Here is a 25,236-nt window from a genome sequence, read left to right on the forward strand (position 1 = left end):
ATAAGAAAAGTCCGTAAGTCCATACCTGACTTTTTCCTCCTGCCTTCTTTTACAGGGGTTCTTAGCTATGTTACATCAAATATTCTATGCCCCAAACTTGACAAAAGGCATTTTAATTATTTTCTATTTGGAATTCTTCAATTGATCTTGATATTGTTTATACCAACTATTGCCTTTCTTCTTTATTTAATTTATATCCTCAGTCATGACAGAAGACAAAGAGAAAATACCTTGCCACAGTTTTTCATAGGATCTAAGCAGGGGAGGCGGCTATGGTAACTTACGTTGACCAGTTAAAGAGTTTTAAATGATTTCGAAAGCAGATCGGCTTTATCATTTAGGGCTCTCTTGACCATCCTTTACAACTAGCACCATTCCTTAAAAGGTTGCCCAAGGAAGGTTTCCTTTAGGAAGGGAAACTGACACAGGAATAAGTACCCTGGTTAAAACCATGGGTGATAGAAGCAAGAGCAGAAGATTTATCTCGTCCTCCTGGCCATATTGCCTCCATCTGTCTCCAGGGAGAACACGCAGTACACTCTAACATGGGCAGTCTTCACCTAACGGATCCAGAAGAGCTGCGGGGTCAGTGCACACAGTTGCCGAAGCAGCTAACTTAGATCAAGACCCCACAAGGCACAAGGACAGAGGTGTAACAACAGTGTATTCTGGGGAGGGTGCAGAGCAGACAGATCTATAATAACGGTTGTTCACCGCAGCAACCGGGGCCACACAGATGGAGCAGAATAGCCCGAATCTGAGCTTTGATTCAGCAACATGCTCTAACCATGATGCCGTCATTTTTTCCTTCTGAGAAAAAGTGTAATCTAATGGGCTACCCTCTCACAACAGCGCCGGGATACTCAGGCTTTGACCCCTTCAGAGCAGAGGTCTTCCGAAAAATTAGGGGAGCTAGCCCGGCTGTGAAGCGACGTGAGGTCCTGGACAGAGGTTCCCTCTGTGGGCACCAGGCAGCGATGCCTGAGCCAGGCTGGGCTGGGCCGGATGTGAAAGGAGACCCCTGCACCCCCGGCGCATCAGCGGGACTCCTGCACTTCGCAGAGGGCGGAGGAGAGCGCAGTCCTGGGTGGGGGCTGCTCTCCTGCGAGGGGAGAAAGCCGGCCATGGCCCAGGCGGTGCAGACTCAGAGGTGGAGAGAAGGGACAGGAAAGCGGGGTGGAACTGCGTCCCGAAGGTGTGAGGAGGTGGCCTTGAAGGTTGAGGGCTAGGCCGGGACCTGGGCAGCAGGGAAGAGTGAGGGAAAGACCGGCTCTTCAATTCGTTTCTGTCAAAAGATGGCCAAATTCCACGCTGCCCTTCCCCCTCCGCGCCTTTCCTGGCCCCCCGCCCCCCTCGGTTGCTCCCAGGACTGCGCGAGGCGGCGGGAAGGTCCGGGAGAGTGAGCGCGTGGGGAGGAGGGGACGGGAAGAGGAGACCCTCCCGTGCCGAACCTCCCGCCCCGCCGGCCCCTCAGGAGGCTCTGGAGTTGGGGACTAGAGCTCTGCCGCTTTAAGGGGGGAGTGGGCGTCCCCTCCAGCCGGGTGACGGTCCGGGGCGGGCCCTGGCGGGCGTGCCTATGCAAACCAGGAGGTGGTGCCGGCGGTGGGCGGGCCCGTAGTAAAATATCGGGGGCGGGGCGGCGGGAGGTGCGGCTGCCTGGTGGGCAGGGCCCTGCGGGAAGCTGGGGGCGGGAGGAGGCCGCGGCGGGTTGGTACCATCGCGCGCGTCTGGGGAGGGGGACGAGCGACTTTCCCTGAAGGGGCACGAGCGACTTTCCCTGGAGGGGCGGGCCCTTGCTGGTCGCGGGGCCGGACGCTGAGGCGGGGCGGGGCGGTCCCGGTTCCCCGCGGGCGGGACGTCGGGCCGGTGGGGAGGGGGCACCCTCCGCTCGCGTCCGAGGCGGGGCCGGCTGTACCTTTCGTGGCGCGGTGCGGCGGGGGAGGGCCGAAGGGAGGGAAGGGGCGGGACCGGGAGGGGGGAGCCGGAAAGGGGGAGGCGCCGGCGGACAATGGAGCCTATGTGTGCTTGCCGGAGTGGGACGGCGCCGCCGCCGCCGCTGCCGCCGCCGGGGGGAGACGCTGCGCCGCCGCTGCCGCTGGCCCCGGCCCCGCGGGGCTGAGAGCCGCCCCGGACCCAAGCCTCTTTCCCTGCTCCGCACCTCCTCTCCCCTCCCCCACTCCTGCCTCCGGGGTAAGTGGCACCTGGGGGAGGGGGAGGGGAAGGACCGGAGCCGGGGGTAGTGGGGGCCAGGTCCGCGTCCGCGTGTTTTGAGCCGGTTTGGGGGCAGGGGTAGCCACAGCCGCGAAGAGCGGGGTGGAGGGGGGCAGAAAAGGGGCGGGGGCCAGGGTTGCGGATTTAGTGAGGCGAGTCTGGAGGAACCTGTGGGGGGAGGTGGGGGTGCTTCACGGGCGGTGGAGAGAGAGGGCATCTCTTCTTTTTTTCAAAGGTTGTGTCCCAAGCAGTGCTTGGAGAGGTTAAACCAGGAGAGTGAGGACAGTCCCAGGGTCCTGGGATGCAGGAGTGTTGGAGGGGCGAGATGGAGAGCTAAATAAGGGAATTGGGATTGAGTTTGATGAGGTCTGTAAGACCCCTGAGATGGATAGAGGTAAAGGGGACTTTGCAGGCCAGTGACTTGTTGAAGGGTAGGGGAGGTGGAAGCTAGGAAGAATGTGTGAGTAGTTAAGGGCCCAAGCAGGTGAATTGGTGATGTCTAGGTCACTGAGTCATTGTGGGGGTCTTGGGACACACCAGTGATTTCCAAAGTGGAGCCTGAGTCACTGGCCTTTGAAAGTTGCAAAGACTATTAAGATGTCACTGATGAGTGTTGGGTGAGCCTGGTGAAATGGAGATATCCTAAGTAAAACAACAGCAGGGTTGGTTATTATGTCCAGAGGGAAGGAGAGGGAGGGGCCAGAGGCCTGTAATAGTATTGCTGGGGGCCTTATGGGAAGGCTACCAAGCATGAAGGAGGAGGCCAGAAATCTGTCCTCCAAGAGGTCTGAAGGAGGGGGAAGGAAAAATGGGTTTTTAGTGATAGGAGAGACTTAGAGCCTAGATTGGAGTCCAGCTGGGGACTAATAAAGTTACTAGATAAGTTAGAGAAATGGACATAACTATCTCTTAGTGGAGAGTCTGTAAGATGGGATAGAATTGATGCAAAATTTGACTTTGATTACAGCAAACATAGGTAAATCCCTGGCAGTGATTTCAGTGGGGAAATGATTTTCTATGTAAAGAGTTACATTTTGGTCAATGATGGGTATTGGAGTATTAGTTAGCACTTGATATATTCAGGAATTAAATGTTCGTTTTGGGGCAGAGATTTGGATTTGTGCACTGAGCAAAGTGATGAATTAGAACTAACAGACAGTAAGGATAAATTGTAAAATCATTGAGAGATGGGAGGAGGGGGCAAAAGGATGTTGGAGGTAAGACTCATGTGGGTTTAGAACCTTTGTGGAAATTGTGCAACATGATTGTCCTGTTTTGTGTTTTCTACTGAATACTAGTGATTGGAAAGTTTTAGCAAGGAGAGATGTTTGCGTGAATAATGTGAAGGCCCTACATAAAAATTTAAGAAAGACATCCTTATTCACTATTGAAAAACACCCAAACTATTAAAGACACAGATGGGTTTATAAGAGGAGCTGTTAGTTAAATGGCATAAGGATGCTTTGAGCAATGAAGGTTCCATTAGTTGTTTGAGGGCTTGGATAAAAAGAGAAATTGTATTTTATTTTATTTATTATTATTTTTATTTGTTTATTTTTTGAGACGGAGTCTCGCTCTGTTGCCCAGGCTGAAGTTCAGTGGTGCAATATCGGCTCACTGCAACCTCCGCCTCCCAGGTTCAAGCTATTCTCCTGCCTCAGCCTCCCAAGTAGCTGGGATTACAGGCACGTGCCACCACGTCCAGCTAATTTATGTACTTTTAGTAGAGATGGGGTTTCACCATGTTGGCCAGGGTGGTCTCGAGCTCCTGACTTCTGGTGATCCACCCACCTCAGCCTCCCAAAGTGCTGAGATTAACAGGTGTTAGCCACCGCGCCCGGCTAGAAGAGAAATTTTTTTTTTTTGTAGATGGAGTCTCACTCTGTAGCCCAGGCTGGAGTGCAGTGGCACGATCTCAGCTCACTGCAACCTCCGCCTCCCCATCCCAGTTCAAGTAATTCTCCTGCCTTAGCCTCCACAGTAGCTGGGATTACAGGCACGCACCACCATGCCCAGCTAATTTTTGTATTTTTAGTAGAGACAGGGTTTCACCATGTTGGCCAGGCTGGTCTGGAACTCCTGACCTCGTGATCCGCCTGCCTCCGCCTCCCAAAGTGTTGGGATTACAGGTGTGAGCCACTGCGCATGGCCTAGAAGAGAAATTTTAATGTAAATTTGAGAAAAGTTGATATGAGGAATGGGAGTATGAGATTTGGAAGTTTTATGACTTAGAGATTTGGAATTGAACCATTAAAACATTTTGTTAATAACCATGTTGAATATAAGATGATAATGGTTTCAAAAGAGATGGTAGATAGACAGGGAGGTCATTGGCTAAAAGATAAAAGAACAATTTCCATAGAGTTCTCATTGTATAAGGCAAGTGTATGTCACTTGCTTCCTCAGAAGTGTCTGCTCCTGTGAATAAAAGAAAATGCTCTCTTGTTTGTGGGGGGAAAAGAATACAGATGTTTCACAAGCATTATAATAAACTAAATATTTGTTCATGGTGACTTGGTACAGTAGTTAGAGCCTTGGATGTAGAATCAGGAAGTTCGTTCTCCCATTGACTTATGTGTGACTTTGAACAAATCCCTTATATTTCTCCAGTTCTCCCATCTACAAAGTAGTAAAACCACCTGCCCTAACCACTCATAATGGCGTTTCTGCCTAACAGGTTAATGCCTAACTGCAAAGTGCTCTGAACATCTCTTAGAATGAGAGATTATGTAGCCCAACTCTTCCAATTTCTGTAAAACTACAGTCTTACTAACAGACCAAATTCAGCTTTGGTAATGTGCTTGATCAAGGAACAAAAAGGAGTATCTTGTACATCTGTCTTGTTCTGTTGTTTGGGTTTTTGTTTTATATTAGTTTTGAAAGGTAATGCCTCTCTCCCTTTAGTGGCAAGACAGTAATAGTGATGACAATTGTAGAAATGTAAGCAAAGGTCCCCATGGAGATGGAAGATAGATGCTGCTGAGTACTAACATGGGCTACGCCAACCCCAAATGTCTGAGGCCTTGGATGTGTTTCCTGGCTTCCTGGCAGCTTAATTTTCTTCAGCTATGAAATAGTGTTGGCAGAATAACTTCTCTGTCTGCCTTGGTGAAGATTACTTGCTCTAGATCAGGGTTTTTTGTTTTGTTTTTTTTTAAATTGAGACAGAGTCTTGCTCTGTTGCCCAGGCTGGAGTGCAGTGGCACAATCTCAGCTCACTGCAACCTCCACCTCCTGGGTTCAAGCAATTCCCCTGCCTCAGCCTCCCAAGTAGCTGGGATTACAGGTACACGCTACCATGCCCAGCTAATTTTTGTAAATTTTTTTTTTTAGTGGAGATGGGGTTTTCACCATGTTGGCCAGGCTGGTCTCGAACTCCTGACCTTGTGATCTGCCTGCCTCATCCTCCCAAAGTGTTGGGATTGCAGGCTTGAGCCACCGTGCCCGGCCAGATCAGGGTTCTTAACCTTATAATGTCCCATGTGCTCCTTTGGCAATCTAGTGAAACAGAGGACCCCCTTCTGAGAACGTTTTTTAAATGCACAAAATAAAATACATTGAATTATAAATCAAATGGAAACAGTCATCAAAATATTAATTGTAACAGTATGTTTCTTTATAACACATTAAATAATAAAATATAGCTGCAGGTCTAATGAGACTGTAATTTTTGAAGTAGTGTATATATTATGCCAAGATATCTGCAACAACTATGTGACATGAAAATGTCTTGTGGTTTCTGTTGGTGACAAGGTCACAGAATTGCTAATAATACCAGGGATGGTTACTTCCATTCGCCATTGAAGGCCATGCAAATTTTTACTTAGAGGTTGGTCAAAATGAACATCTGAGCTTTCCCCAGGAGGTTCACAAACATTTTCCCGTCCCCCAGGTCTATCCACAGACCTCTTGGGAGTCCGTGGGATCCCAAGTTAAGAACTCTTACCCTAGACCAACTGATTTTTGAAAGTTATATTATCTCATGGCCACTTGCATTTTAGGTTTTGCAGTATTTTTTAGCATCTCCACTATGCTAAGAACAGGAGCATAGAGAAGACATGAAACAAAAGTCCATTTCACAACCTGTGATGACTGTTTTTGATGGTGGAAAATGTTAAAAACAATGATTAAAATGAGGCTTTTGTATCTGGTGGCTTTTGCTTTTCTAAACTCCCAGTCATCCATTAGCGTGGTTAGGCCTCAGTGGGATGGATTTGGGCTGCAGTGACCCTATCTTGGACTTCTTGTATTTTGAGTTTTAGTGGTTTTGCCTTCCTTCTCCCTTTTTGACCTAACTGTTTTCTTACTGTTTCTTCTTCCAAAGATTGCTTTGGCTGCAGAGCACTGGGGAATGGGTGGTTTTCCTTGGAATCAGCATGAATTGGAGTATGAACTTTTCTTTTTCCTTATCTGTATAGGACTGAATGTGGGCCCAGTTGGCGTCATTCTGCTTTGACCTAAACATTCCCATCTGATTGGGTGGCAGAGATCATTTTTGGAAAGTTCTTCCGTGTCCCGATGTAGAAGAAATAGCAAATTGGACATATTGAAAGGTAAAGAATATTCTGATAAGTCAGTTCCTTTTGTGATTCAATCTGAATATGTTGGATTTTTGTTTCTGTTTCTATAGGGCCTCTTGTAAGTTAAAACTACGTTTATTCATTATTCTAAGAATTCTCAAGGCAAAAGTCATCAAACTAAATGCAAGTCAAAAATATAAGAGCAGTTACACCTTTCTGTGAGCAGGGACTTGTACAATAACTCATTTCATAGGGCCAAGGATAAAGGCAGGTGGTGAGAAGTTAAACAGGTATTTATCATACCATCGTTGTGTGTGAATGCAAGGTAAAGGTAGCAATACACAAGCCCCAAGCTCATTATAATACATGGATCAAACAGCATTGATTGAGTTTCTTCCAGGTATCAGGTGCTGAGAGGAGGAATGACAGTGCCCTCAGAGAGTTCCGTGTCTACACATACAGTTTTGTGTTATAACAGTTTGTGATTATAATGCCGGGGGCCATGGAGGACATACAGAGGAGAGTTGGTAATCAAGGAGAATTTCACAGAGAAGGGACATCTGTGCTGAAATAATATTTTGGGTAGCCATTATTCCAGATGGTGATAGTTGGAATTCATTTTGAATGCTTGAATTTTGTCAAAAATCTTTAGCTTGATATAAAATTTAATTTGCTTAAAGTTAGCTATTAAAAGGTGACAGAGGTATTTTTACCCCATGAGTACTAAAATGTACATTAATATTTTGCTTGGACCAAGGTTTTCTCTACATGCCCATTGCATAGTTTACTTTCTCCACATGTTGGGGAAAGATTGGTTTTTCCTATTGTGTACTTTTTCTGAGAGGAAGCCTTTTAGTAGTCGGTATGCCAGAAGTTAAGAATGAGCTAGGAATGGAATCCTGAGGCTTTTTAGTTCCACATTCTAAGTTTGATACTATGCCTTTTATGGAGTAGTGGTCATAGCATAGAAATGAAATTTGTTAAACATGACATCGTTCTAATAAACTGGACTTCTTAGAGCAGGGAAATGGGAAAGCATCATTGAAAGAGTTGAAATTGGAATCATAGAGGTGATTCTGAGCTTGGTTAGATTAATTTGTGAATTTAACAACTTAATGGCATGCTTCTCTAGGAATCCTTCTAAAGATTCCTAAATAATTTAGCCCTAAGACAGTCTGCAACTTGCTTCTCCCTTGCCACTTCAAAACTATAAATTCTGGGCAAAGAGGGAGGCTCAGTGTCATAATTCTAGTTTACAAGGACTAATGGTGGAAATTGTTCTGCTTGGCCAGTACTTAGTGTTTTATTGACTTAGCCAGCTCAATTCAGTACCGCACTTTGCACACAGTAGGCACTGAATAAAAGGAAGTCATCTGGCCACATTATTCAGCTCTTAAGTTCCCCACAAGTATATGAAAATAAATGTTCTTGCTGGATGTAGAGTTATGGTGGAGAGCAGGGAGAACTGTGAATGATCTTCACTTTGTAAATTCAGAGACATATCTGGAATTTTGTCTCTTCTCACCTTTACAGTCAGCTTTCAAATCTCTATACTAATAAGGAATGGAAAGAAGCAAAATTATGAGGAGTTTCTTTCTACTAAATTCCCAGAATTCTAAAAAGTAGAAAACTTGATTTGCAGTTTATATTTCTCCAGCCTCTGAAAATAAAATGTGCAGTTGGGAAGGAGGAAAAGCCACAAGAGCCTTGAACTGGCTACAGATCAGATATAATCCTTCAAAAATTGGGAGTTGATTCTATTTGTGTGGGGGATGACAGCTTCGTCTTAAACTGATATTCTGGAATAAATAAGAAACCTGTTTTTCTCTTAAGATATTCATTGACAAATTGATGTTGTTGATTTTTTTAAAAATCTGCTTAGGACTTCTTTTTTTCCTCGTCTAGACAAGGGTCATCTTTGAGAAGGGGGTTCCTGGACTCCTCACCTCCAGGATGAGCACTGCAGTGTCGTGACCCTTGGGGTTTTGGTGAGTACACTGATGGCTGATAGCACTGGAGCACACGCCTGGCTTAGAAGAACGAGCTTAGGGAAAAGCTTCAGCTTTTATTTAACGATTTTTTTTTCTTTACATCACCCAACCCTCCCGCTGCCTCCCCATCCAGCTCCTGCCCTTGGTCACCACCATTTTACTGTCTGCTTCTACTACCAACTTTTTTAGATTCCACGTATAAGTGAGATCATGTGTTATTTGTGTTTCTGTGCCTGGCTCATTTCACTTAACATACTATCTCCAAGTTCATGTACATTGTTGCAGATGACAGGATTTCCTTCTTTTTAAAGGCCGAATAGTATTGCATTGTGCATATATACCACCTTTTCTTTATCCATTTCTCTGTTGATGGATACTTAGTTGATCCCGTCTTAGTTACTGTAAATAATGCTGCAGTGAACATGGGAGGGCAAATATCACTTCCATATACTGATTTCATTTCCTTTGATTAACAATGAAAATTTTTTAAAGCAAATACTATGTGCTAGGCACTATAGTAATTGCTGTGTATACAGAGATGAGTAAGTCAGTTGTGGTCCCTACCTTCATGGAGCTTATGGTCTAGTGGGAGAGATGAATGTTACACAGATGATCACATAAATTGCATATGTAATTACAAAGCATGAAAAATGTTGAAAAACCCTAGATGCTTTAAAAAGAATGTAATAGAAAATTTTATGTAGATTGATGGCATTAAGGGATTCTTCTCCTCTGAAAAAGAAACACTTAAGCCAAGACTTCATTCATTCAACAGAACTATTCAAACTTGATATGGGAAAGTTGAAGTTTAGGGAGAGAGGTATCAAGAATTACTTCCAAATTTCTGGCATGAGCAACTGGGTGGATAAAGGAGCCATTTATTAAGATATGGAAAACTGAAGGAAAAAGGTTTCAGGAGGAAGGCTATACACAGAATTGAAGAATTCATGTTTGATCCTGTTAAGTTTGAGACATCCAGGGAGATGTCAAGCAGGTAGATGTGTATACAGATCTGCTGGAATGGACCTGCAAATTTGGGAGTTGTTGGCATGGAGAGAACTTGCAGCATGAGAAGAGAAGATGACTCAGAGTAGAGTCCAGAGGAACTCTAAAGTTGAGAGATCAGGTAAAAAAGGGACCTGCAAAGGAAGCAGATAAAGAAGGCCTGGAGAGGTGGGAGGAAAGCTAGGAAAATGAGGTGTTATGGAAACCAGGAGAAGAGTTAACAAGAATGAAGTGAGCAACTGGCAGAATCTAAGAGATGGAGTAAGATGAGATTAGCAAAGTGGCCAGTGGTGACCTTAACAAAAATAGTGGTCACTATGATCTGGGGGTGGAAGTTGGTTTAAAATGATTAAAGGTCGAATGGCAAGTGAGGAAGTGAACCCTGTGTCTCGTCAACTCTGTGGAGAAATTTGGCTCTAAGGGGTAATAGAATGCTAGACCTGGGTTTTGTTTTGCTTTTTTTTTTTTTTTTTTTTAGCACGGAAAGATTCTACAGCCTGTCTGAATGCTGATTGGAAAGATCCAACAGACAGAGGGGATGGCCAGAGGGGAAAATGAGAGCTCTCAGAAGGCTGGAAGGGATAGGCTTAGTCCACCTGTGGCTGGATTGACTTTTGGGAGAAAGTGGGCTATTTTTTGTTTCAGTAATAGAAAAGAAAGAGGAGATAGATATTGATGAAAATTGGTTTGTGTATTTAGCAGTTAAGAACTTTCTGCCTGGCAACATCTCTTCCTATTAAGTACTGGGCAAGTCCAGGTATTGGGAGTGGGAAGGAAGGGAGGAAACGGGGTACCTAGGAGACGTAGAAGGTATTTTGAAGTGGCTTCTGGCATGATAAGCCAGCGTGCTTGCTAGAGAGTGTAGTAGTCATAGTAATACTTAACACTGGAGTGCTTACATTATACTGCTGAGCACTTTATATGAACTAGCTCACCTTGCCCACCAAGGCTCTACTTTAACAGGCACTACAGTGATGAAGAGCATAGACTTTGGGGCCGGAGTGGCCAGAGTGCTGGTTAAATGCCCACTACCACTTACTAGGGTGTGAGCTTGGTCAAGTTACTTAACATTGCAGAGCCCGTTTTCCCATCTCTAAAATAGAAATAGTGGTGGCACCTGCCTCCTGGGGTTGTTGTGACTGGGTTAACATGTTTGTACAGTACTCAGAACAATGCATGGCACATAGTAAAAATTTTAAGTACTAATTTAAGAAGAGAAGAGAAAAACATTGTATAAGTAGATCTAAGGTGTTAGGAGATGTAGTTATGTTGGGGGAAAAAAATCTCTCTGGCTATAATGATTCTGTGGAGGATCCTTTCCAGTCCTTAAAGGTGGTTAAACAGTTGAACTCTAACCTCCTGAAGAGCCTAATTTTATTCTTTGGAACTATAGAAGATGTTTGGCAGATTTTTTGCTCAGTCGTTTTTATCATCAGAAAGGCTAAAAGTAGGGACAACTTATTTCCTTGGGCTAGGGATTGAAAAACTTAGATTTTGATCCCAGTCACTGGGTGAACCCACATGCTTATTTCAACCTCTGTGCTGTCTCTCCCTCCATAAAGTAATGGGAAGGAAGATGGCTTCAAGGAAAGAGCCAGGGTCTGAGAGCAGTGATTGGAAACCTGGAAGAAGCCATTCACACCCCATGTGCTCCATTCATTCATCTCTAAAATGCCTGTCAATCAAAGTCAGGCAAATTGTGAGAAAATGAAACTGTATGTAGAAGTACTTCGAAAATAAAAGTGTTTTATGTTCACAGCATTATTATTAGAAATAATCTTTGCTACCAGCTCATCATAAATGCTTGGCAGATTAATGAGGTGATTTGATAATTGTAATGTTTTGAGTTTCTTTGGAAGACGTGTGTAACACAAATGCCAGGTGTTTCTGTTATGGGAGAACTTGAATAAGTCACAGAGGATCTAACTACATGCTTAGTACATCATGCTGAGTATTATAGAAAAACAAAAGAACTTTAAAACAAGGTTCTTGGCTTCTAAGAATATAGTTTTCACAGGGTGATAAAATATACACCTAGTATTATTCAGTACGACATGTGATTGAGTGCTAGAATACGTGATGCAGACAGAAAGTACTAGAAGAAGTTGTGGAGGGGGACTATATAGGTGGTAACTGCTTTTCTTTTCCTGAGGTAAATGTTTTCTGATGGCTTTGTCCATGCAGGATTCATTTTCTACTTCTATTTTCCCAGTGATTTCTAATGTTCATTGAGAGGTTACAAAATGGTTTATGATTATATATGTCCAACTTGACAACCAGAATCCATTTCTTAGTCTAAACCAAAAAAAAAAAGCTGGAAGCTGATGGGGATAAAAATAGAACCTTAAATATGATCAAGACCAAAATGTTTTTTAACATGCTGTCTCCTGAGGTCAGCATAGAAACATTCATAATGTTTTTATTCTAGTTCTTTTTCCTGACTTTTTTATTTAAAAAGGAAAAAATTTAATTGAGTGTACTCAGAACTTCCATAAATTTCTTTCACTGTCCCAGGTAAAATAGCTGAGACTATTGCAGATTTCTAAATGAAGAAATAGACCTTTAACATGTGACAGTGATCATAGTGCTACAACCTAGGATATAATTGATCCTCCCAATTTTAGCCCAGTCTCCATTCTCTCAAAGTACATGTAAGCTGCAACACCTGAGCTGTTTCTAACTCCCTTTGGTTCTGTAGTCACTAGTCCTGCACCTAATATTCTCCTCCTTCATTCCTATACTTTGTCAGTAAGATACTAGAAGCTGGAAGGGGGTTGATAATGGGATAGTGGTTACAAGAAAACCATAATGGAATTACCCTGGGAGGGAGCAGAGACTTAAAGTATGTCTTGGTTTTACCTGAATTTGTCTAGGCTTCCCTGAATAAAGGACTTTCTCATTTGTTCTCTAGCTAGGTTTGGGAATATTTTCTTGACCTTTATGCTTCAAATTAGCCTTGCAAATTGGCTCAAAAAATATCTTAGCCTTCAAAGATGTTCTTTTACTTTCAGAATTATGGATCATTCCCATGCTTACCCATGCCTGCAGTCCCTGTCATTAAGCAGTGAGAACACTAGACACATACTTGGCATAATTTAATAGAAAGATCATGGAAATCAGGGGGCAGAACTGATTGTATTTGATGTTGGTTCAATATTTGATTTCAGAAGTACCTCCTTTAAAGTCCCCCCGCCCCCAAGGCCCTGAGAGTGTAAACATAGATTAATTTGCATCATGGTTTGAAATTGGGGGGGTTGTTTCATTTCAGTGCTGTTGTTTGCCATCAGAACTGAAACACCAGATAGTCACTATGGATCTGCGGTACCTAGGGGTTTCAAAGCATTGTTTTGAAAAAAGAAAGACACAAGTTTTTGAGGGTTTTGTATTCAAAACTACAGAAATGTAAGGGAGAATACATAGCTAAAGAGAAAACTGCCTTTTTCACCTGCTCACCCTTGCCTGGTCCATGCTGCTTGCGGGGGAGGCTTGCATGCTTGGCAGGAAGTCCTAGTCACCCTCCAGCTGGTGTGGCCCCTGAGCCTTTGTCCACAATGGGAGCATCACCCTTTCACCCTGATGGAAGTGGAGGCATGGTCTAGCTGCTTCGCTGAGTTGGCTAGTGCTTTCACCTTGATCCTGTTGTGAGGGTGTTTTATGTCTCTGTTTTTGCTCCCAACTTTTTTTGGGTGGCCTTTTCCTGTAGTATGCCCTGGAGATGCGAGATTTTCCTCTGGCAGCAGGAGGCACGCACCCAGAGAATGCTGGAGCTGCAAGGGGAAAGGACCCACTTCCACAGCAGAGAAAAACAAAGAGGAAAAAGGCATACAGGCAGCGAGCGCTAAGGGACGCACCCAGCAAGCAGTGGGCCAGTGCCACTGCCCCCAGCAGCTGTTTCTGCTGCAACCCGAGAGGAACTCGGTGAGCCTGTCCCGTTTGTGACTGCAAGCTCAGGATTTCAATCAATGCATTCCAGTAACCCTAAAGTGAGGAGCTCTCCATCAGGAAACACACAGAGGTAAGGGCTGGGCTGGGGCCTCTTCCTGCAGCCCCTTGGGGATGCCATAGGCACATCATGAACACTCATTGGTGAAACAGTATGTTGAATTAGAAATAAATGAAACCCAAATGGGAAAGGAAGAGAAAATAGACTAGTAAATAGTAATATAACAGTAAGCAGGATACAGTGTAATCAAAGCTTATGTTAGAGTTTTCCTTTGTTATTCTTTTGTCCATCATTCCCTGACCTCTCCCCGCACCTCCCTGCCAAAGCACAAACGAAAGGACCATAGAGACCAACCAGTACAGTTTGCCTAAGTTTGCAAACAAGGAAACTGAGGCCTGGAATGGTGAGGAAGCCTAATGTCGTAGAACTAAAACGTTATTCCCCGGACTCCCACTGTGACACTTTTTCCTCGGTTTCACAGTAGTTAAATTGTTACTTTAAAAGAATTTTGTCCTCACTCCCTGAGGGCAGTGGTTGGTTTATCTGCTTTGGTGTAATACTGCTTGTTGGGAGGGATTAGTATCCTGGAGGATTTCCCTAACCTGACAGTCACCAGCTCCCGTGCTCTTTGGGACCAGCTTGCATTTTCCAGCAGGGAAGTGAGGCTCTCCTACAGCTGTTCCTTGTCATCAGCCTGGGGGTGGGTAGTATTTTGATCTTAACGATGCCTGTTTGTTTACTCTGAGCTAGTCTTAGTGTAAGAGTCACCTCTCTATGTACATAGAAACCGTTGTCCTTTATTGACAGAAGCCCTGGAGATGGGTCCCCATGTGACTGTAGGGTTCCTGAAACCTGGCAGGCCACTCTGCTTGATCCTCCTCTCTGTTGATAGCTCTGAGATGGGATCAGGGGTGGCGGGAGCAAGCAAATGGCTGAGGTGAATCATGGGGTGGTTATTTTAGTCCTAAGGGTCTCCTTGACCCCCAATAGAAACTGCCTCTCTCTAATTTGTGCTGACCAGCTGTATCTGGTGTCTGATCTTCCTTTGTTATTTGTTTCTTTTAGTAGCCCTAAGTCAAAGCAGGAGGTGATGGTCCGTCCCCCTACAGTGATGTCCCCATCTGGAAACCCCCAGCTGGATTCCAAATTCTCCAATCAGGGTAAACAGGGGGGCTCAGCCAGCCAATCCCAGCCATCCCCCTGTGACTCCAAGAGTGGGGGCCATACCCCTAAAGCACTCCCTGGCCCAGGTGGGAGCATGGGGCTGAAGAATGGGGCTGGAAATGGTGCCAAGGGCAAGGGGAAAAGGGAGCGAAGTATTTCCGCCGACTCCTTTGATCAGAGAGATCCTGGGACTCCAAACGATGACTCTGACATTAAAGGTATGTCTATAAGATCTTTGAGACTCAGAGGGAAGTAGGTGTTCCTGAGGGAAGGCCTCTGACATTCGACAGAGGCCAGAGAGCCTAATATCAGACAAGTGGGGAGAGTAGGTATCAGATTCATGAGTTCTCACAGTTTATGATGGAACTATTTCTTCTCATTTTGTTACTAACTGAAGAATTGTTTGGAACCTCCTAGTTGAGGAGTTCTTGCCCTTAAGGATGCAACGGTTTAGGGGTTATGGTAGGATGTTTCACAGGCCTATCCCTGTTCGTACACGTTTCTGGCCTCTATGCTGTTTGTACTTTAGTTTCAAGCCAGTAGCTCTAGTTTGTCTGTGCCAGTGGCCCCCACTGGGGTAGTTTTTCTGGTATCCCCTTCTCTTCTCCATCAGAGCAATCCTCCAAGGCTTGGGTCTTGTGTTCTCTAGTTGCCATTTTGCCAGACTTCAGACACAAGAGGAAGCCTTAATGGCCCTGGCAGTAGTCCAGATTTGTTACAGCTGATTTTAGTGTAGCAGGAATGAGTGGCTACCAGATGTGTAGAGATTTGGCAGGCACCAAAATGGAGTGAGCCAAGAAGGGTATGGGACCAACAGCTGTGGTTTTAGGCTTTTTCCTCCTAGTATAAGACCAAAAGTCTTAACTGTAGGCCAGAACATGAAGTTAGTATTCAAGGAATGGAAGTATGATTTTCCAACCCAAATTAGAAATGGAAACTTGGGTGATTGTTTCTCCCCTCCTTCCTCCCCTCCTCCCTCAAGTGTTTTGGCAGGCCTGCTATGAGTGCCAGCACTATGCTGGGGGGCCATGGTCAGCAAGATAGATACAGCTGTTGTCCTCAAAGATTTGAATGCACCTAGAAAGCTGATTATTAGACAGTTACAGTAAAATATGATAAATGCTGAAATAAGAGAAGTTAGAGGGCTGTGAGATCCATCCCCAGTTAAGTCTAGGAGGTTTCAAAAAGGTTACCAGAAGAAGGGACATTTACACTAATATATGAAGGAGGTGTAATAGAGAGGTAAGGAAGCTGGGGAAGACTGCTTTATGGTTAGTCATTTGAGAGAGAAGAGTATTTGAAATTTTATAAGTAGAAGAGGTTTCCTCTTAGCAAGGTGGTACTTCCTTGAAATTCTCAAGGTGGGTTTGTGTTGTGATGCTATATATGCTGGCAGAAGAAAGGAAATTTTATTCTTTCTGTGACGAGTCATTTTATTCTTTTAGAATGTAATTCTGCTGACCACATAAAGTCCCAGGATTCCCAGCACACACCACACTCGATGACCCCATCAAATGCTACAGCCCCCAGGTCTTCTACCCCCTCCCATGGCCAAACTACTGCCACAGAGCCCACACCTGCTCAGAAGACTCCAGCCAAAGTGGTGTACGTGTTTTCTACTGAGATGGCCAATAAGTAAGTTGATGGCTGTGTCTTGCTGTTGGGCAGGGCTTGTCTGGGGACCTAAATTCTTATTCCCATTGCAGATTGATCTTTTATTATCACCTAAAGTTAACAGTACAGATAAAACATAAAACCTCCCCAACCCAAACTCCCCCAGAGGCAACCACTGATAATACATCCTTTGCTTCCCTTTCAGAAATTTTTCGTGCTTGTACAAATATACATATATATCTCTTTTTCTTTTTTTTTTTTTGAGATGGTGTCTGTCTCTGTCGCCTAGGCTGGAGTGCAGTGGCAGATCTCGGCCCACTGCAACCTCCACCTCCTGGGATCAAGCAATTCATCTGCCTCAGCCTCTTGATTAGCTGGGATTACAGGAACCCGTCACTACACCCAGCTAATTTTTTGTATTTTTTAGTAGAGATGGGGTTTCACCATGTTGGCGAGGCTGGTCTTGAACTCCTGGCCTCAGGTGATCTGCCTGCCTCAGCCTCCCAAAATGATGGGATTACAGGCATGAGCCACCGCGCCTGGCCATATATACCTCTTTTAAACAGAAGAAGTTGATTGCACAATACACACTTTTCTGCAACCTACCTATTATTATTTTCTAAACAACACAAGTAACAAATGTCCATTCTAGAATAATTAGAAAGTATAACTAAAAATTAATATCTCTGGAATTCACAGAGATAACTACTGTAAACATTTTTATATATAAATTTTTAGTGGATGGATGCATCAATTTTTATTTATCAGAATTGTGATTATACCCTACATATATGGTTTTCTGACTTTTTTTCCACTTAAGATAAAAAGTGAATCTTAACAGCCTTAAACTATCACTAGGTATTGTACGATCTCATCTTCCCCCTTCTTGGGTTGGGATTTTGAACTCGGATTCTCTATAAAACACCTACCACAGCGGATTAGTTTCAGGAGAAAATCTTGGTTTTTGTCTTTTAATGCCTCTTTTGGGATTTGCTAATGGCTGTCTTTTAATTTTAGAAGTTTGATGATAAGTGGTAAATATAAATAATGAAACATGTTTGTCTTGATTTCTTCTTCAACATTTCTGGTGGTTCTTTCTATTCCTTCCTCTCCCTTACAAGTTTATTGTGTGGTTAAAGTGCTTTGGAATTACAGTTAGTGAAATAGAAACAAGTTCTAGTGTGTGCTGTCTCTTCCATCTTTGCAGAGCTGCAGAAGCTGTTTTGAAGGGCCAGGTTGAAACTATCGTCTCTTTCCACATCCAGAACATTTCTAACAACAAGACAGAGAGAAGCACAGCGCCTCTGGTATGTTGTTTCAGAAACTGAGTAATGGTTTAATGATTCTACAGTGACTGCAAAGGAAAGGAGGTGGTGAATTTAATTGATAGGAAGGTAGTCTTGATGGCATGAGTTGCATTCTTGGCATTTAACCTAATTCTGGCATTGTGGGGCATTAGGCATATCATACTATACTAGCCTTTTCTACGAGAAAGCTGGTAGATTGATGAATTACTAGGGGGAAGAAGATGCAAACTAAAAGAGGAGCTATACAGATATCTTTGGGTTTCCTTCATGTAATCGTCTCTGGGAAAATCTAAATTCAGACCCTGTGTACAGAGCAGGTTTTTTAAAAATAACACTCTTGAGCTAGTTGAATAACAAAGAAAGAACAGAAAAAAAGCAACAATTAAAACTTCTAGAGTACATGATGACAGTATCATAATCAGAGCCTCATCGACTTTCAGAGTGATTCATATTTATTTCAAAGTGATAAGACCATTGAATGTTTTTAATTGCTTGATATTTGTAAAATTGTAATAAATGTTAGTCTGTTTTCTATCTGGATCTTAAGCACCTGCTATAAACTCCATTAGAAAAAGCATACAGTGGCCGGGCGTGGTGGCTCATGCCTGTAATCCCAGCACTTTGGGAGGCCGAGGCAGGCGGATCACAAGGTCAGGAGATTGAGACCATCCTGGCTAACCCAGTGAAACCCCGTCTTTACTAAAAATACAAAAAATTAGCCGGGCATGCTGGCGGGTGCCTGTAGTCCAAGCTACTTGGGAGGCTGAGGCAGGAGAATGGCCTGAACCTGGGAGGCGGAGCTTGCAGTGAGCCGAGATTGTGCCACTGCACTGCACTCCAGCCTGGGTGATAAGAGTGAGACTCTGTCTCAAAAAAAAAAAGCATACAGTGGATGTTTTAATGCATGTAGTTTACCAAATTGAACCAAAAGATACTTCTTGTATCTGGCATCGTCAAGCCATTGCACCAAATGCTATGGGGGATACTAAGAAGTTCAAGACACAGTCCCTGCTTTCAGGGAGCATGAAATCTAATACTGGGATGAGTCTTAAACATGGGAAAAGTTAATTGACAATAAATGATCAAAGTGACAATTCAAGATAAAATAGGTGACATCTTTCCTATTTTGTGTATCAGAAAAGTCTCCATCTTTGTAGACATAAGCAGAGCTTAGGCCTTCCTAAACTTAGAAAAGGAATTTCATATTCCCCATGCATCTTGACTACTCAAGGGTAGAAGATGCATACAGTTATATTTAAAATGCTTATTGTCCTGGAATGAATATAGTACAGTGTAACTGAAACCAACCTTTTATTGACTTAATGGCAGTTCTTAATACCTACACCTTAATACCTACACCTACACCTTCTCTGGTACTAAAATCAGGAAAGGAGTTAAGGAAGGAATTGGGAATAATCCATTGTTCCACATCTAAATGTTTTCTGACGTCATGGTTTCGTTATATGAAATCAGTATCCACCCACAACAAACAAAACCTGACCAACAAAACCAAACTTAAAATGGCACTAGAAGGAAAATCAAGGTGACCTCTACACTCCAGTTAGGAGTGTGGATATGAAATATACTTTTAACTGTACAGAATCATACAAGATTCAGCTGATCTTACCCACACAACTCTTTACCTATAGGCAGAAGTGCATGGATACCTCAAAATCCAACATTTATATATATATTCACAGAATATAAGTGCTCAAAGATATGTTTTCATGTGTATACAACACAAATTGTTCATATGCAGAGATACACGTAATTATTTGTTTACATATTTGCACACAGGTAAACATTCCAGAGAGTAGGTGAGGAGGTAAGAGCCTGAAGGGTTTGGAAATACAGACTGGATTAAGCGAACAAGTAGGAGCAAATGAACACGGAAAAAAGGGTCTGGAGAAAGGCCTTTGGTGAAAGGTCTCTGAGACAGGGTTTGTAGATCAAGTCCTTCTGTTCATCAGTGCCCTCTTATATTTCAGCAGTGCTCTTGGTTTAGACCCAGAACATACACATCTCTCTTCCAAACATTCAAGGTGTCCATGTCACCTATTGTAGGTGAGTGTGCTTCTACCCTGGACTTAGTATAGCAGTGGTACTTAATAAACAATAATAAGGCAATCATCCAGCATATTAAAAAAGGGCAGTCTACTGCCTATTGGAAAGAACAGTTCAAGAGACACCATGAGCTAGATAGCCTCAGATTTCTCCACAGAAGCTTCCTGCCTGCAGATTATCTCACTACAGTTAATGTACAAATTCTTATCAAATGTGGAATCAGTGATCACCAACCAAAAACGGAAACCAGAGATGTCAGGCCTCCTGGAAACTCCAGGAGGGGAGTGCCTCAGTAGTCACCCTGCCAGAGGAGACGTTGAAATGGAGCAGCTGCTTCCTCGGCTGGTAGAATACAGAGCTGCAAGTGACTTACGCTTTCTCTCTCAAGATGGCAACATCAGGCCTTTTGATTGACAATGAGAAGTCTACATACCCAGTTATACTTTCAGGGAAAAGAAAAAGGTGTTAGGTACAGCCTCCCACATACCAAGAAACTAATCTCTCTCTGAATCAGAAACACATAGTAGACATGTGATATCAAACCTGTTCCTCAAAATAGATACTGAAATGTATTCACTTTGGCAGAGTGGCTCTCCCCTGGCATACTTTTAAAGTTATTGAAACCTAATCTTCAGCAAGGGAAAGAGGATACCATTTGACAGTAAGTTTAAAAAAAAAAAAATCAAAATGTCTCCATGCCCAAAAGAGGGTTGTACGTGAGCAATTTCTACAGCCAGTGTCAGTTAGATTTATGTGCCTGGGGACAATTCCTTTATAACATATCTTGCTCTTTTAATTGCCCTTCTGTTCAGTTTACTAATGATTTTTAAACTATTTGTTTGTCTTCAGAACACACAGATATCTGCCCTTCGGAATGATCCGAAACCTCTCCCACAACAGCCCCCAGCTCCGGCCAACCAGGACCAGAATTCTTCCCAGAATACCAGACTGCAGCCAACTCCACCCATTCCGGCACCAGCACCCAAGCCTGCCGCACCCCCACGTCCCCTGGACCGGGAGAGTCCTGGGGTAGAAAACAAACTGATTCCTTCTGTAGGAAGTCCTGCCAGCTCCACTCCACTGCCCCCAGATGGTACTGGGCCCAACTCAACTCCCAACAATAGGGCAGTGACCCCTGTCTCCCAGGGGAGCAATAGCTCTTCAGCAGATCCCAAAGCCCCTCCGCCTCCACCAGTGTCCAGTGGCGAGCCCCCCACACTGGGAGAGAATCCCGATGGCCTATCTCAGGAGCAGCTGGAGCACCGGGAGCGCTCCTTACAAACTCTCAGAGATATCCAGCGCATGCTTTTTCCTGATGAGAAAGAATTCACAGGAGCACAAAGTGGGGGACCGCAGCAGAATCCTGGGGTATTAGATGGGCCTCAGAAAAAACCAGAAGGGCCAATACAGGCCATGATGGCCCAATCCCAAAGCCTAGGTAAGGGACCTGGGCCCCGGACAGACGTGGGAGCTCCATTTGGCCCTCAAGGACATAGAGATGTACCCTTTTCTCCAGATGAAATGGTTCCACCTTCTATGAACTCCCAGTCTGGGACCATAGGACCCGACCACCTTGACCATATGACTCCCGAGCAGATAGCGTGGCTGAAACTGCAGCAGGAGTTTTATGAAGAGAAGAGGAGGAAGCAGGAACAAGTGGTTGTCCAGCAGTGTTCCCTCCAGGACATGATGGTCCATCAGCACGGGCCTCGGGGAGTGGTCCGAGGACCCCCCCCTCCATACCAGATGACCCCTAGTGAAGGCTGGGCACCTGGGGGTACAGAGCCATTTTCTGATGGTATCAACATGCCACATTCTCTGCCCCCGAGGGGCATGGCTCCCCACCCCAACATGCCAGGGAGCCAGATGCGCCTCCCTGGATTTGCAGGCATGATAAACTCTGAAATGGAAGGGCCGAATGTCCCCAACCCTGCATCTAGACCAGGTCTTTCTGGAGTCAGTTGGCCAGATGATGTGCCAAAAATCCCAGATGGTCGAAATTTTCCTCCTGGCCAGGGCATTTTCAGCGGTCCTGGCCGAGGGGAACGCTTCCCAAACCCCCAAGGATTGTCTGAAGAGATGTTTCAGCAGCAGCTGGCAGAGAAACAGCTGGGTCTCCCCCCAGGGATGGCCATGGAAGGCATCAGGCCCAGCATGGAGATGAACAGGATGATTCCAGGCTCCCAGCGCCACATGGAGCCTGGGAATAACCCCATTTTCCCTCGAATACCAGTTGAGGGCCCTCTGAGTCCTTCTAGGGGTGACTTTCCAAAAGGAATTCCCCCACAGATGGGCCCTGGTCGGGAACTTGAGTTTGGGATGGTTCCTAGTGGGATGAAGGGAGATGTCAATCTAAATGTCAACATGGGATCCAACTCTCAGATGATACCTCAGAAGATGAGAGAGGCTGGGGCGGGCCCTGAGGAGATGCTGAAATTACGCCCAGGTGGCTCAGACATGCTGCCTGCTCAGCAGAAGATGGTGCCACTGCCATTTGGTGAGCACCCCCAGCAGGAGTATGGCATGGGCCCCAGACCATTCCTTCCCATGTCTCAGGGTCCAGGCAGCAACAGTGGCTTGCGGAATCTCAGAGAACCAATTGGGCCCGACCAGAGGACTAACAGCCGGCTCAGTCATATGCCACCACTACCTCTCAACCCTTCCAGTAACCCCACCAGCCTCAACACAGCTCCTCCAGTTCAGCGCGGCCTGGGGCGGAAGCCCTTGGATATATCTGTGGCAGGCAGCCAGGTGCATTCCCCAGGCATTAACCCTCTGAAGTCTCCCACGATGCACCAAGTCCAGTCACCAATGCTGGGCTCGCCCTCGGGGAACCTCAAGTCCCCCCAGACTCCATCGCAGCTGGCAGGCATGCTGGCGGGCCCAGCTGCTGCTGCTTCCATTAAGTCCCCCCCTGTTTTGGGGTCTGCTGCTGCTTCACCTGTCCACCTCAAGTCTCCATCACTTCCTGCCCCGTCACCTGGATGGACCTCTTCTCCAAAACCTCCCCTTCAGAGTCCTGGGATCCCTCCAAACCATAAAGCACCCCTCACCATGGCCTCCCCAGCCATGCTGGGAAATGTAGAGTCAGGTCAGTATGCTTGCATCCTCACAGTTGCACCTAGTAGCTGGAGACTGCTAGACCTGATAGTTACTTTAAGAAAACTGGTGTCTTGAGTACACAGACAGAGGAGGCAGTCTTTGTTGAAATGGCCATATTTGTGGCAAGGTGCATAATCAGTGCTTCCATGGGGTTATGCAGAAGTGTCCAATCTCAGCAAAAAATACGTATGTCAGAGAGACTGTTAAAAGGAAGAGGGGAAATGGGGAATATGTGTTGGGTTCACAGAATAATTTACATTCGCACAATGAACAAATGCAATAAAATGTCTTAACAGTGGATGAATGTGGCTTCTTTAAATACTGGACCCACTGCAAGGGGCTGCCCTTGAATCGAGATTCTGGGTATAATCCTAAGCAGAGAGAGGGGAAGCTGCTGTAAGACTTGTGTGGTTCTTGTAAATACCTGTTGACCACAGAAACAGTTCCAAAATCTTCTCCTTGATAGACCACTGTTTTCACAGATCAGCTACAATTTAGGAGGATTTTCTTCCTGGGAGAGATTCTTGCTGATGATGATGGTTTTGTGAGTGGGACTAGAGGTGGTCAGTGGAAGTAGTGCCAAGGTGTAAATACTAGGTTGGTGCTGTCTCCACCTGAGAAAGACTAGAATCAGAGCAAGATAGAAGATTTATCCTACCAGCCTAAAGTGCCTCTCTGTAGGGTAGCAGTTCACTGAAGCAGTACAGTGGAACAGCCCCCTCAGACCTTCTTGGTTCAAACATCTTGGTTGTGGAAATTAATCAAGAATGCGTGTAGGGTGATGTCGTTAGTACCTGGGATCATATCACTAGTCTGGCTTCATAGCATACTAATACCTGAGTCGAATTCTAAACTGTGATTGGCAAGGGAAAGAGATCCACTTATTTCACATTCTATTCAGTGAAATGGTTGTCTGTAAACCATATTTTCCCCAAGCTTGAACTAATATTTCTAACACATTCCTGGTGTGTTTGTCTTCACATCTGCTGATCGGTCATGTCACCTCCATATCACACCACAGTCTCCCTCTGCACTCACACAGAGCTTGACTAGAAGATTGATGATTTGTGTCTGGGATCTAATAACACTGTCCTGTTCATCTGTCTCATTCCTGGCCTTGCTAGTTCATAATCATAGGGCCCAATACCCTTCAAAAGGAATCTAATTCCCTGCCCGTTTTGTTTTATTTTGCTTCCTTTTAGGTGGCCCCCCACCTCCTACAGCCAGCCAGCCTGCCTCTGTGAATATCCCTGGAAGTCTTCCCTCTAGTACACCTTATACCATGCCTCCAGAGCCAACCCTTTCCCAGAACCCACTCTCTATTATGATGTCTCGAATGTCCAAGTTTGCAATGCCCAGTTCCACCCCGTTATACCATGATGCTATCAAGACTGTGGCCAGCTCAGATGACGACTCCCCTCCAGCTCGTTCTCCCAACTTGCCATCAATGAATAATATGCCAGGTAAGAAATCAGAAAGGCAGGTTGTGGAGTGAGTGCTAGACCAAAGAGAAACCTCTTGAAGCGTTTTCTCAATGGCTATACACCTGAATAGGTGGAAGTTCAACAAGTAGAAAAAATCTTCCATCTAAGGTAGTTTCAGTAGAATGAAAGTGTCTTGACTAGAGGAAGATAATTTCTTATTAGCTTGATTCCTTATTTGTTTGTAAGAAAGCAGGTTTCTTTATAGTTCTGATGCTTCTGTGTACCTGGATGGTTTTGAGGGTTTGTTGTTTTTGTTTTTCTCTTTGGGTCCTCATGTAGCAATATAGAGAGTAGTTTCTAACAGGCTGATTGGAATGTCTTTAGTCCTCAAGTTTTTTTTTCTGGAAGAGCAGCCTCAAACCACAAGCAGCCACAGGATTTCAGACAGTGGAAAGCCCCTGTTTCCTAGACAAGCCTTTTTTTTTTTAGGACTAGGGAGATAATAAAATCCTTCCCTTCCCTACACATTCGGTACACCTTCATTCCTATACCCACCCCTCACCTCGACTCCTGCCACCTGACTAACAGAAAATGATCAGGATGGTGAAAGCAATCAGCAAAGAGACCATGACTTTTCAGCCATGAGTTTCTGGTTCCAGTTCTATTCTGATTGTTACAAATGCTCTTTATTTATCAGTAACTCTAATTAACTGGGTTAGTACATGTACCAGGAACAGCATAAGCCCCCTGCCACACTCGGTGGTAATTCCAACAGAGACACCAAATACTTCAATGTCCCAGGGACTGTATTAGAATATGTTACTTTCCTTTTCTATTAAAAGTTATTTCTTGAACATTTCGTGGAATCTCGAGTTTTAAATGCTTTCTCTA

General features: G+C 44.7%; 2 protein-coding genes across 2 annotated transcripts in view, besides 5 other annotated features; both read left to right on the plus strand.

The window, feature by feature from the left end:
- The window catches only part of BCL9 (BCL9 transcription coactivator), an 84,716-nt gene that overhangs the window by 56,647 nt on the left and 2,833 nt on the right, over positions 1-25,236 (plus strand). Inside the window, exons 2-9 of the mRNA NM_004326.4 lie at positions 6,630-6,764; positions 8,637-8,719; positions 13,431-13,742; positions 14,736-15,052; positions 16,280-16,469; positions 17,656-17,755; positions 20,669-22,910; positions 24,124-24,384. Of these exons, the coding sequence (NP_004317.2) occupies positions 13,690-13,742; positions 14,736-15,052; positions 16,280-16,469; positions 17,656-17,755; positions 20,669-22,910; positions 24,124-24,384 (3,163 nt within the window). The 5' untranslated portion in view covers positions 6,630-6,764; positions 8,637-8,719; positions 13,431-13,689. The remainder of the gene's footprint in view (positions 1-6,629; positions 6,765-8,636; positions 8,720-13,430; positions 13,743-14,735; positions 15,053-16,279; positions 16,470-17,655; positions 17,756-20,668; positions 22,911-24,123; positions 24,385-25,236) is intronic.
- Positions 1,183-1,262: a silencer, noted in NCBI's record as "silent region_1281". NCBI's record gives its function as "represses an Ori minimal core promoter by ATAC-STARR-seq in GM12878 lymphoblastoid cells {active_cell/tissue: GM12878}" and the evidence as "EXISTENCE:reporter gene assay evidence [ECO:0000049][PMID:35858748]".
- Positions 1,293-2,342: a silencer, noted in NCBI's record as "silent region_1282". NCBI's record gives its function as "represses an Ori minimal core promoter by ATAC-STARR-seq in GM12878 lymphoblastoid cells {active_cell/tissue: GM12878}" and the evidence as "EXISTENCE:reporter gene assay evidence [ECO:0000049][PMID:35858748]".
- Positions 13,443-13,649, plus strand: LOC128071544 (uncharacterized). The gene has a single exon (NM_001414892.1). The coding sequence runs from the start codon at positions 13,443-13,445 to the stop codon at positions 13,647-13,649; it is 207 nt and encodes a 68-aa protein (NP_001401821.1).
- Positions 14,283-14,577: an enhancer, noted in NCBI's record as "tiled region #10305; HepG2 Activating DNase matched - State 5:Enh, and K562 Activating non-DNase unmatched - State 23:Low". NCBI's record gives its function as "activates a minimal TATA promoter and a strong SV40 promoter by Sharpr-MPRA in HepG2 and K562 cells {active_cell/tissue: HepG2 | K562}" and the evidence as "EXISTENCE:reporter gene assay evidence [ECO:0000049][PMID:27701403]".
- Positions 21,284-22,163: an enhancer, noted in NCBI's record as "H3K4me1 hESC enhancer chr1:147091237-147092116 (GRCh37/hg19 assembly coordinates)". NCBI's record gives its function as "activates a minimal SCP1, AML or CMV promoter by ChIP-STARR-seq in naive H9 embryonic stem cells {active_cell/tissue: H9 hESC(naive)}" and the evidence as "EXISTENCE:reporter gene assay evidence [ECO:0000049][PMID:30033119]".
- Positions 22,164-23,043: an enhancer, noted in NCBI's record as "H3K4me1 hESC enhancer chr1:147092117-147092996 (GRCh37/hg19 assembly coordinates)". NCBI's record gives its function as "activates a minimal SCP1, AML or CMV promoter by ChIP-STARR-seq in primed H9 embryonic stem cells {active_cell/tissue: H9 hESC(primed)}" and the evidence as "EXISTENCE:reporter gene assay evidence [ECO:0000049][PMID:30033119]".

This window comes from Homo sapiens, chromosome 1 (genome assembly GCF_000001405.40).
Source record: "Homo sapiens chromosome 1, GRCh38.p14 Primary Assembly".
Classification (NCBI taxonomy): domain Eukaryota; kingdom Metazoa; phylum Chordata; class Mammalia; order Primates; family Hominidae; genus Homo; species Homo sapiens.